A 12,875-nucleotide genomic window follows, 5' to 3' on the forward strand; every position below is an offset into this window, starting at 1 on the left:
CTATGGCATGTACTGAACTTCAAATGTTTAATTGATGAGCTCACTACAAAACAGTATTCCCAGTCACAGCTACTCAAGTGACAAGGCAGACACGTTTCCCAGGGAAAAACAGCACATAGAATAGCTCCACCTCAAATTTCAGAGCTAAAAATACTTGGTAGATCTGCCGGTTTGATACATCTTCCTTAATATACTTTCAAGTTTTTCCCTACTGTGAGCCCACGCTACGCTTCTCCTGATTAAATCAGGCCAATCAAACAAAAAAGCTGGTAATATTTTATTAAAAATAGAAGTAGCTTTTACAGTAAGGAAAATTATTAATATAAGGACTGCATAAACACAATATACATTGGACATTTCTTTAATCATCCTTTTCTTTTTTTTAATGAGGAATTATAAAGAACCTGGGTGAACGAGCTTTGCTTATGGGGCTTCTAAAATGCAGTAACATAGGTTAACCACTGATTTTTATATGACTCATAAAAATACTGTGAAGACGGGTTTTATTTCCAAAGGTTTTCCTGCTGTTTATTATTGAGTAATAACAATATTCTCCAATATCTTCAACCATCCCACTTTGTCTGAATTCAATTTTTTCCTGCTAACTGGGATAAGAAGATAAACAAAATCACCACAACTTGGTGTAAAAGGTCATTTTCTTAAAGAGCTCCTGGAACATGGAAATATATGTATAAGAAACTCGATCCACTAAAGGAATAAAAAGCAGAATCACTAAATTTTCCTTAGTGTGCATAGAAATATTGGTATCTAAAGGGAAATATCTTTAATAAAAATATTTAGAGATATAAGTTCATTAGAAAGGACCTAAGCTTCTTAGAAAATTGCATAAAATTAACCCAAAGAGCAGCTAAATTTGTCCATTTCTCTTTCAGGGAGGTGGGCTGCATCTGATACACTGCCTGGGGGAAGACTTGGAGAGAGAAGCAAGAGGCAAGAGCCTGGTGTGTAGCGGGGGCTCGGTGCAGTTACTGGATTGGTGAAACCCATTTTTAATGTCTTAATGACATATGGTTTTCCATACTTTTTTTTCTTCAGGAGAGTGTTTCTGCGATGATCAAGAGCTTTTAGAAAATGGGTAAGGTATGAAACCGAAATAGTGTCCTTGTGACAAATATAACTTTTTAGAAATTTTCATTGTTACTGTTTATATAGAAAGTACAAGCCTTTGTTTAAAAAAAATGCAAGCAATTCAGCAAAGTATAAAAAAGGAAATAAAAATACCTGGTAGTCTCACCTTCACATACCATCATATTCTTGATGGAAAAGCCAACAGTACATCCATTTTCCATCTTCATATGTTTAGTTTTTATAAATGTTTCCTTAGTCTTAAATCTAAATGAGGTCCCTGCTGTTATTCTCTCTCATAACACCCTGGTCTTTTTCATCATACCACTAAAAAAAAATTGTATTCATGACTTTTTACCTGTTTAATAACTCTCTCCCTGATATAAGGTAACGTGATCTCTATACGAGCAGAGATCGTATCTGTTTTGTTCACAAATAATTACCTAGAATGAAGCACATTATTGGCATGCAGTCAGCACTCAATAAATATTTATTAAAAGTGGGTATATTTTTATCAAAAACGTTCTAAACAAAAGTTATAAAATATAAAAGGCTGTTCAACACATTAGTAAAAAGTGAAATAAAAATTATAGCTGAGATAGCATTTCATCTGTATCAGACAGGCAGAAATGTACAAGCTTAGCAGTATCAAGTGTTGGGGGCACGTGGAACAGCAGGAGTGCTCACGTGCTTCTGGTGGGAGTGTAAATCAATATGGTGGCAAGCAATAGGATACTGCCCATTGAGCCTGAGGGGCATGTTCTCTACAACCCAGCTCACAACTCCACTCCTAGGTGTAATTTCCGGAGAAACCTTGGCATCTGTGGACCAGAAGCTAAGCTTACAACCACTTATGGTGGCGCTGTTTGGGTTGGCATAAAACAGGAAGCAATCCAAATGTCCATCCATAGGAGAATGTATAACTTGCAAAATATTTAGATAAGGGAAACTGTAGAGCAGTGAAAATGATAACACAGCTATACTCATAATATGAGTGAATCTCATCTTGAGCACAAACAGGATGAAAAATAAATGGTTTTGCAACTATGCCAATATATGATGGGGAAAAAGAGAAAGAAGGATCAGGCAAAGACAAAGAACCCGGAATGGAAGAAGACAGAATATAAAAGAATATGAACACATCCCCTGCAAAAATTTCATGCCACAAAAAGGAACTAAATTAGAAAATCAATTAATTGAAAGAAAATCTTGAAAATGATAAAATAACTTTTTAGAAATTGTCATTAAGAAGGAATATTTCAAAGCTAAGAAAATAGAAAATAAAAATAGCATCATTACAGGAACTAATAAATTAGACACAGCAAGAATAAGAGGCAAGGATGAGATTTAAATTAGTATTAAAGGAGTGCCGTGGAAGAATCTCAATGAAGCAGAGGAAAGGGACAAAAGAATTAAATCAACTTGAGAGAAGATGACAGCTATGAAGGAGAGGCAAAGATGATCCAATATAAGGATAACAGGGACTACTGTGGAAGGAAGGAAGGATAGAAGGAGGAAGGGAGAGAGAGGAGATGATTTTAGTACTATGACACAGTATCCATTGCTTGCCACCACATTGATTTTCCTGAAGTAAAGGAAGAACTGAATCTGTCCATCACACTGTATTCCAGGAAACTTTGTCAAAATGGTCCATGCCGAGATATAGCTTTGTTTTGCTTTGTTAATTTCAAGGATCAAGAAAAAAAAAAAGCTTCAGGAATCCAGGTAAAAAAAGAAATCACCTACAAGGGGGAAAGAATTCCGGCTGACTCCAGGTTATTTTCACAGCAACATCCAATGCTAGAAGACAATGGAAAAAATATTTACAACATTAAAGGAAAAGAAAGCATGATGGACGGATTATAGCCAGCCAAGTTGCTGTTCAAATATAAAAGCAAAAGGCACATAGTTTCAAATATGAAAAAAACAAAGGGAATAAGGCACCCATGAGCCTTTCCTAAGGAAATTACTTGACAATGAAATCCAGCCAACCAAAAAATAAATCAAAATAAAGAACTCTGAGAGGGATAAACTGTGATCAGTGCTGCACTATCGTGATGCACATTAAATTCATGCAAATATAAAACAAAGTCAAAACAACAGGGGGAATTATGGCAACTGAACAGAGTATAAATATTATAAACTCAGCTAAGGACAAACTATAAAGAGCAAAAATGGTGAGGTGGGAGGTAGGCGTAGGAAGAAACAAGTACCCGTCACTTCGAGTTTCATAGCAGAAAGCCAGCCCATACTGTCTGAAATGGAAACATCCTTCAAAAACATAGTTTCTCCAGCTCTTAATAGCTTTTAAAATCTCTTTTCTCGCCTTAGAGTCCCTTTGGGGACCTAATAAGTCTTGCGGGAAGGAAATGTTCATCCAGAGTTCTTAGTGTCTCCACTTTCCCTTGAGGACAGTGTTGCAGGGTTAAGGGCAGGGACTGGATAAGCCTGCACTGCATAGGCTGTTTACACTCAGCCCCAGGACTTAGCTGGACTCATTTAACCTATTCATGCCTCAGTGTCCTCAGCTGGACGATCACAGTGCGCTGCTCATGGGGTTGCTGTGAAGACTGAACAGACCACCAGCAAAGCACTGGCAACACTGCCTGGCACAGAGAACATCCCATAAAAGAGTTAAATATGATGGCGATGCTGACATTTCCTTTTCTTCTGGGAAATTCAAGGAAATTTAAATTAAATACGTTTTATTTTTAAAAAGGAGTATGATCCTCTTCTTATAAAATTATTTCTATCTATGTCTCCACCTACCCACTGATCCAGCCGTCCTTCTATACATGAATAAAGAGAGGTCCAGAATTATGTTCACCAAATGTTGCCTTTGATTCTTTCTGGGTGGTGGATTGTGAATAGTTTATTACTTTCTTCTTTGTACTTTTTAGAATTGCTTACGTTTTTTGCAATGGTCATGTTTTTATGAAAACAAGAAAGTCATTAACAACAACTAGAGAAAACAAATTTAACCAAATTACCCACAAATATGACAGTGCTCACTTCTCCAACACCCTTATCGACACTGGCTTTGTGAGTTCCTCCTGCATTGACATCCGTCTATTGAACATTTTATATTAATAATATGTAAAAGTTCTATGAATGTTGGGAATTATTCATCTGTCATTTATGTTGCACATATTGTGCCAAGTTTATCATATGTTTATACAAAGTTTTGCTGTATAAAGGATTGTTCATTTTTCTGAAGTTAAATTTTATCAGTCTTTTTCTTTAAGGCTTTTGGGCTTTACTTCATGCTTACAAGAGATTCTAAATTTCAACATTAATACATGTTTACCCACATTACTTACATTTAAATTGTTGATGAAGATAGAATTTATTTTTGGTGAAGAGTGGAAGGTTATAATCTTCGTTCCCCAAAATGGCTGGATAGCAAATTATCTCAATAATAATTACCAAATAAGCCTCTCTCACTACACTTTATTGAAATGCTTCACATCACAGGCTAAGTTCACATATAAAGAGTGGTTCATTAGCCAACTACCCCTTTAAATCCATTTGAATGTCCATTGCTGCACCAATGCCATATTGTCTTAATTATTATGTCTTTATAAAATATTTTATATGTGTAGAGTAAGTCCTCTATTATAATTTTTCAGAAGAAAAAATATATATCCTGATATAGGAAGAATAGGTAGTAATACTAAATCTTCCAATCCAAGAATCAGAAAAGACCTCTTCACTTATTCATGTTTTCCTTTACGTTACTCAATAACGTTGCATTATTTCTTTATATGTCTTATTAGAGTTAGTATGTGAGTAGCACAAAGGATGTACTTAAAAATTAATTTCACATCACCATCACGATTATCCATGATCAATGTATTGCTGTTATTGGGAGGTAGAGGGGGTCTCAGTATTGGAGAAGACATAGGTAGGATCGAAACAAATTTTAGAAATAATGTGTAAACCTAATAGTTTTCCATATTGTCTACTTTGCTGTGTTTACTCTGTAGGTAATTGTGGCTTAGGAAAACATCTTACTTGTAGACAAAAGTTCCTCTCAATTTCATCCAAGGAGTAGTTTCTCCAGATATCTTCAGATGATGCAGAACCTAGCAAACGTTCCTTTTTGGAATTTTTGGCTTGTTGATTCTCCAACGAGACCTCTGTTGAAACAAAATAGCTTCGGCTTATCAACATTGTCAAAGGTTAAACATTTAAATATTGTTTCATTTTAATCATTACTTGTTTGGTAAAAAAGGAAGGCTTGAATAAACCAAGAAAATGATGAACCATCTGATTAATGGTGTTGAAATAACTGGCTAAACATTTTGGAAAAAATAAAAGTAATCATCTACTCACTATCTTACTCTAGGATAAACACTAGATAGAGTGAAATGTACACTAAATAGAATAATACAACCATAAAAATAGAAGAAAATTAAGATGACTGTTACATACTACATAATCTTTGTGTGAGAAAGCCTTGCCAAGGAAAACACTAAAGCCAGAATTTATTTAAATAAAGGATAAGTTTGACAACATAAATACTTGATTTTTGTTTGGTAAAAAAAAAAAAAGCCACAAGTTAACAGTGAAAAAATAATGAGTGGAGAAGAACTATTGTTAATATACATGAGAAATACAGGTTAATTTTCATAATATATGAGTAGCTCTTATGAATCAATAAAATAAATATAAACATCCAATAGAACAGTAGACTAAGGTTATAGACAGATAATTCACATAAAAAGAATTTTAAAGCATCCAATAAATGTATGGACTACTCAAGCTCATTGATCATTTTTAAAGTCTTATTAAAACAAATTAACATTTTTTTCTACTGGTCAAATAGGCAAGGAGTAAAGGGAATAATAAGAACCAGTTCTGGCTTGTGTATAAAAACTTGGTACTTGAATATGCTTAAATCCTTTTCTAGAGTTTTGTACTCATGGCATAATAGGGCTACTCACCGAATTCACATGGATAAGGATATTTTCTGCACTTTTCTTTATGAGAGGAAAAAAATGAAACAATCTAAATGCCCATTCATAGAAGATGAATTTTATAAATGAATGGTCCATCAAGCCTATGAAATACTACACAGACTTTAAAAACAAAGATACGTGTCTAAATTAACGGATGTGGGAAATGTTCTTTGCTATATATTGTTTCATGATTTTAAAGGGGTAATTAGCATAATTTCATTTTAACACTTATTTTGTATATCTTTCTATGCATCCATCCATCCATCCACCCATCCATCCATCCATCCATCCATGTAAGTACCAGAAACAAAATCTGAGAGGATACTACACGAAAAAGAAAAAGTGGTAGGATTCAGGTAGTAGAATTATACGGGATTATTATTTAGTGTTTTTGTGTTTTCTGGCTTTTTTGAAACAAGCATGTATTATTTTTATAATAAAAGAGAATGAAATAAATCTAAAATATAGCCATTTTCTTTCTCAAAGTTGACTGCAAAGAATCACAAATGGTTTCCCAGATTTATTTCCTAAAATGTCTGCAAATACGCTTCAGCCAAATTAAGCACACTTAATTCAGCTGCAGTTAACAAACTGCCAGTCATCTGGAATTCTATTTCCTAGCTCCAAAAAAGAGAAAGGGGAGAAAAAAAAAGATCCCTCTGGGCTATATAATAAAAGACAAAGTTGGTCTTTAGAACTTGGTCATGGCCAGGCACAGTGGCTCATGCCTGTAATCCCAGCACTTTGGGAGGCCAAGACGGGCAGATCACCTGAGGTCAGGAGTTTGAGACCAAACTGGCCAACGTGGTGAAACCCTGTCTCTACTGAAAATACAAAAATGAGCCGGTCATTGCGGCACGCCTATAGTCCCAGCTCCTCGGGAGGCTGAGTCAGGAGAACTGCTTGAACCTGGGAGGCGGAGGTTGTAGTGAGCTGAGATCATGCCACTGCACTCTAGCCTGGTGACAGAGAGAGGCTCCACCTCAAATAACCGTAATAATAATAATAATATCAACAAATTTGGTCTTGGTCTGGAATTCTACAGCCACAGTGGGCTGAGCATTTGAAACCTGGTGTCTCAGGACATTTGAGCTGCAAGGGCCCTCGCTGAAAGATGAGGAAGCTGTGTCACAGAAGCGGGACCTGAAGTGGTCTAGCACACAGAGGCCTCCAGCCCCTCTTGGACACCTCATCCTGTTCTCAGTCCACCTGTGACACTGGTACTCTCATGGCACATTTCGGGAAGCCCACTGGGGCTCTGTTTAAACAACATGTCTGGCTTGGAAGGGTGGAGAAGGGATTAGGGTGTGAGGCCTGCCCTGGGGAGCTCACGGCCCACAGGTCTGTGCACACGCCCTGTGGCTGCTCTCACAGGCTGGCTGACAGCACTCGGTACGGTGTATTCAGTGACGCCTCTCTCACCACAATTATACCAGCTTTCATTCTCCAGGGCAGCTTGATAATGCCTGCAACCTTCTGATTTTCTCAAAATTTCCTCTGAAGGATGATGCTACCCAATGTGAAACTGGGTGGAGAAGCAATCCAAAGCTTACAGTGCGGTTTATGTTCACTGCAGGCGAAAGGAAATCTGCTCCCCAGCATCTTTCTTCATGTGCCCAAATAGATGGTGCTTTTCATAAGCAAGATGGTGGTGGCTTATTAAGAACACAAATGGAACCAAAACAGAAGTTAGCAAAATTAATAGAACACATTGTTCCACATTTAGAGAAGTCAGAGATAAAAGGTTGCTGCAAATATATGAACTAGCGACTCTCTTATAGAGGTGAGAACAGCACCAAACCTCTAACCGGCTCTTGGTAATTTGTTCTTATATAACATATTTTCCCCCAAAAAATTTGCTGACTGGCTCTCCCACTTACTAGCTATGCAATGGTGTGCTTTTGTTTCCTTATTTACAAGAAGAGATAGAAAACAGTACCTTTGTCATGGAACTGCTACCTGGATTAGATGAGCTGATAGAGGTACTTGCCTGGCACTTGGTAGATACTCAATAGGTATTAGCTACGTATTGATTCATAATACTGTTTCAATGATAGGAGTCATGGAAGAGCAGTATCAATCAGAGTCTGAAAACTCAGAACTCAGATGACAGAAATCAGGAGCAAATTACAAAAAAACATTATGTCAGGTATAAAACGTTGTATTATTAACGAATAGCCACCATGAAATTTGCTAAGAGAATAGATGTTAAGTGTTCTCACCACACACAAAAAAAGGTATCCATGTGAGGTGATGGAGGTGTTAACTAATTTACTGTAATAAACATTTCACAATGTATATGTACATCAAATCACCACATTGTACATCTTAAATACACACAATTTTAACTTGTCAGTTATACCTCAATAAAGATGAAAAAAAAAATCATTTCAGAAATGAAGACTAGGCCGGGTTCAAGGAAAGGAAAGGAGAGGAGACTAAGCTGGGCACAGTGGCTTACACATGTAATCCCAGCACTTTGAGAGACCGAGGCAGGAAGCCAGGAGTTCAAGACCAGCATGGGCAACAAAGCAGAACCTGTCTCTACAAAAGATTAAAAAAAAAAAAATAGCCGGGCACAGTAGCATGTACCTGTGGTCCAAGCTACTCGGGAGGCTGAGGCAGGAGAACTGCTTGAGCCCAGGAGTTCAAGGCTGCAGTGAGCTATGATCATGCCATTGCGCTCCAGCCTGGGTGACAGAGCAAGACCCTGTCTCTAAAAAATAAAATAAAATAAGAAATGAAGACTAAACTAAAAGAAACACAAGAGCAAATAAACACAATAGTAATAGGAGGTGAAATCAAAGTTATATCATGGAAGGAAACAAAGAAGGGAGAGAGGGAGGAAAAGAGAGAGGAAGGGAGGGAGGAAGAAAGTAAGAAAAAAGGGAGGAAGAAGGACTTGTGAGGAAGTTGTGGTGTAGAAGAGAAGAGAGGGGGAAAAAAGATCCTATCTTTTGGATAGGGAATCCAAAAGATACAATACATATGATATGAATCACTGAGAAGAAAACCAAACAATGGAATGGAAAAAATACTAAAAATCACAATTCAAGAAATTAAAGAGGAAGTCCTAGCCAGAGGAATCAGGCAAGAGAAAGAAAGAAAAGGCATCCACATACGAAATGAAGAAGTCAAACTATCTCTCTTTGCTGACAATATGATTCTATACCTAGAAAACCCTACAGACTCTGCCAAAAGGCTACTAGAACTGATAAATCATTTAAACAAGGTTTCAGTACACAAAATCAATGTACAAAAATCAGTGGCATTTCTATACATCAATAATGTCCAGGCTGAGAGTCAAATCAAGAATACAATCCCACGTGCAATAGCCACAAAGAAAATAAAATACCTGAGAATACAGCTAACCAAGGAGGTGAAAGATCTCTACAAGAAGAAGCACAAAACAGTGCTGAAAGAAACTAGAGATGACACAAATAAGTGGAAAAAATATTCTATGCTTACGGATTGAAAGAATCAGTATCATTAAAATGGCCATACTGCCCAAAGCAATGAACAGATTCCACGCAGTTCCAATCTAGCTATCAATGTCACTCTTCAAGAATTAGAAAAAGCTATCCTAAAATTCATATGGAACAACAAACAAAACAAAACAAAACCCAAAGCCCAAATAGCCAAAGCAATCCTAAGCAAAAAGAACAAAGCTGAAGGCATCAGTCTACCCAACTACAAACTATACTATAAGACTATAGAAAGCAAAACAGCATGACACTAGTACAAAAACAGACACATAGGCAAATGGAACAGAATAGGAAACTCAGAAATAAAGCTACCCACTTAAAACATCCGATCTTTGACAAGGCAGACAAAAATAAGCAATGGAGGAAGTTCTCCCTATTAAATAAATAGTATTGGGATAACAGGCTAGCCATATGCAGAAGAATGAATCTGGACCCTTACCTTTCACTATATATAAAAATTAACTCAAGATGGATGAAAGAAGTAAATGGAAGACCTCAAACTATAAAAATCTAGAAGAAAAACTGGGAAATATCCTTCTCAACATCAGCCTTGGCAAAGAATGTTTGGCTAAGTCCCCAAAAGCAATTGCAACAAAAATAAAAATGGATAAGTGGGGCCTTCTTAAACTAAAGAACTTTTCTGCACAGCAAAAGAAACTATCAATAAACAGACAACCTACAGAATGGGAGAAAATATTTGAAAAGTATGCATCTGACAAAGTCCTAATATCTAAAATCTGTAAGGAATTTAAACACAATATCAACAAGCAGAAAACAAATAACCCCATTAAAAAATGGACAAAGGACACGAACAGACACTTCTCAAAAGAAGAAGACATACACACGGCCAACAAACATATGAAAAAATGCTCATAATCACTAATCATCAGAGAAATGCAAATTGAAGCCACAAGGAGATACCATCTTACACCAATCAGATTGGCTATTATTAAAAAGTCAAAAAAGGCAGGGCGTGGTGGCTCACACCTGTAATCCCAGCACTTTGGGAGGCCAAGGTGGGCAGATCACGAGGTCAAGAGATCGAGACCATCCTGGCTAACATGGTGAAACCCCATCTCTACTTAAAAAAAAAAAATTAAAATTAGCTAAGTGTGGTGGCATGCGCCTGTAATCCCAGCTACTCAGGAGGCTGAGGCAGAAGAATCGCTTGAACCCAAGAGGCAGAGGTTGCAGTGAGCCGGGATCGCGCTGCTGCACTCCAGCCTGATGAAAGAGTGAGACTGCATCTCAAAAAAAAAAAAAAGTCAAAAAACAACAGATGCTGGCAAGGCTGCAGAGAAAAGGGAACACTCAGGCATTGTTGGTGGGAATGTAAATCAGTTCAGCTACTGTGGAAAGCAGTTTGGAGATTTCTCAAAGAATTTAAAACAGAGCTACTATTCAACGCAGCAATCCAATTACTGGGCATATATCTAGTGGAAAATAGATTATTATGCCAACAACACATGCACTCATATGTTCATTGTAGCACTATTCACCATAGCAAAGACATGGAATAAACATAGGTGCCCATCAGTGGTGGACTGGATAAAGAAAATGTGGTACGGATATACCACAGAATACCACACAGCCATAAAAAAGAATAAAATCAAGTCATTTGCAGCAACATGCATGGAGCTGGAGGCCATAATTCTAAGCAAACTAACACAGGAACAGAAAACCAAACACTGCATGTTCTCTCTTATAAGTGGGAGGTAAACATTGAACGAAGTTTATTCCAACCCTAATGGATGACTTTAAGGGGTTCAAGACTTCAGTGGAGGAAGTAACTGTATACGTAGTGGAAATAGCAAGAGAACTAGAATTAAAAGTGGAGCCTGAAGATGTGACTATATTGCTGTAATCTTCTGTTCAAACTTTAAGGGATGAGGAGTTGTTTCTTATGGATGAGCAAAATAAGTGGTCTCTTGAGATGAAATCTACTCCTGGTAAAGATGCTATGAACATTGTTAAAATGACAACAAAAAGTTGAACACACATGGATATAAGCATGGGAACAACAGATAACAGGGCCTACTAGAGGAGGAGAAATGGAGGGGGTGTGGATTGAAAAACTACCTATTGGGTGCTATGCTCACTACCTGGGTGCAGTATACCTGTGTAACAAACCTGCACATGTACCCCTGTATCTAAAAGTTGAATTTTTTTAAAAAAGAGACTCAGATGAAAACCTAAATAGTACACAATGTACTCAGGGAATCATTCAACCTTGAGTACCTAATATCATGACATAGTCTAGCAAAATGTATTGGGTTTTAAATTTTTTTAAATTATCAGGGCATCCAGACAAAAAGATCAAATTATGAATAAGGAAAACAAAGGTGGAGCCCACTCTGCCTCTACAATTCTTACATTCTGCACACCTGCAGGGTTAGCACCTCATAGTGTCAAAAGCTTACTGCTTGCACCTTCCAGAGTTATGGCATAAGCCACATCTGGGCCCACGTGAGCCCCAGTGTGCTGCCACCAAGCTTTACAGCTTGTACTTTTCAGAGGGGCACCTAAGCCACAGCTGGGACCAAGGAGCCCTGCACCGGAATGTGGGGGCAGAGTCCGGAGATGGCCCTGGGCAGCAAGCCCATCGAGCAGGCTTTTTAGGGTAATTGCCAAAAACCATTCTGCCTTCCTATGGCTTTGGGTCTGTGATGGGAGGGTCCTTTCTATTTATGCTAATCTATTTAACCATGAGTCACTTAGCCACATCCTTATTTTGTTCTCATGAACATGCTTTTTTCATTCTGCATGTGGCCAGGCTGCACTTCCTTCAGGATTGTAAGTTTTATCTTTGTCATCCTTTTGCTTCCAAATCTCACTGCAAGTGGCCAAAAGTAACCATGCAGCACCTTGAACACTTTGCTGCTTAGAAATTTCTTTCACCAGCTATCCTAGTTCAGCACTCTCAAGCTCAGCCTGTCACACCACCCTATGGCATGGATACAATGCAGCCAAGTTTGCAACTGTATAAAAAGGATGGCCTTTACTTTAGCTTCCAGTACTTTGTCCCTCATTTCCATCTCAGACCTTGTCAGAATGGTCTTTACTGTTTACTGTCAATATTTCTTTTTTCTTTTTTTTTTTTTTTTTTGAGAAGGAGTCTCGCTCTGTCTCCCAGGCTGGAATGCAGTGACACGATCTTGGCTTACTGCAACCTCTGCCTCCTGGGTTCAAGTGATTCTCCTGCCTCAGCCTCCCAAGTAGCTGGGATTACAGGCACACGCCACCACGCCCAGCTAATTTTTTTATATTTTTAGTAGAGACAGGGTTTCACTGTGTTGGCCAGGCTGGTCTTTAACTCCTGACCTCAAATGATCTGCCTGCCTTG

General features: G+C 37.8%; 1 protein-coding gene across 21 annotated transcripts in view; it reads right to left on the reverse strand.

Moving 5' to 3' along the window:
- The window catches only part of EFCAB6 (EF-hand calcium binding domain 6), a 283,528-nt gene that overhangs the window by 182,970 nt on the left and 87,683 nt on the right, over window positions 1–12,875 (reverse strand). For all 21 annotated transcript variants that reach the window (XR_007067980.1, XM_047441462.1, XM_011530319.4 and 18 more), the window contains one exon: window positions 5,101–5,225. Coding sequence is in view for 20 of the 21 variants with exons in the window: in XM_047441462.1 (XP_047297418.1) it covers window positions 5,101–5,225 (125 nt within the window). In the remaining variant the exon portion in view is untranslated. The remainder of the gene's footprint in view (window positions 1–5,100; window positions 5,226–12,875) is intronic.

The sequence above is a fragment of the Homo sapiens genome, chromosome 22, assembly GCF_000001405.40.
Source record: "Homo sapiens chromosome 22, GRCh38.p14 Primary Assembly".
Lineage (NCBI taxonomy): Eukaryota > Metazoa > Chordata > Mammalia > Primates > Hominidae > Homo > Homo sapiens.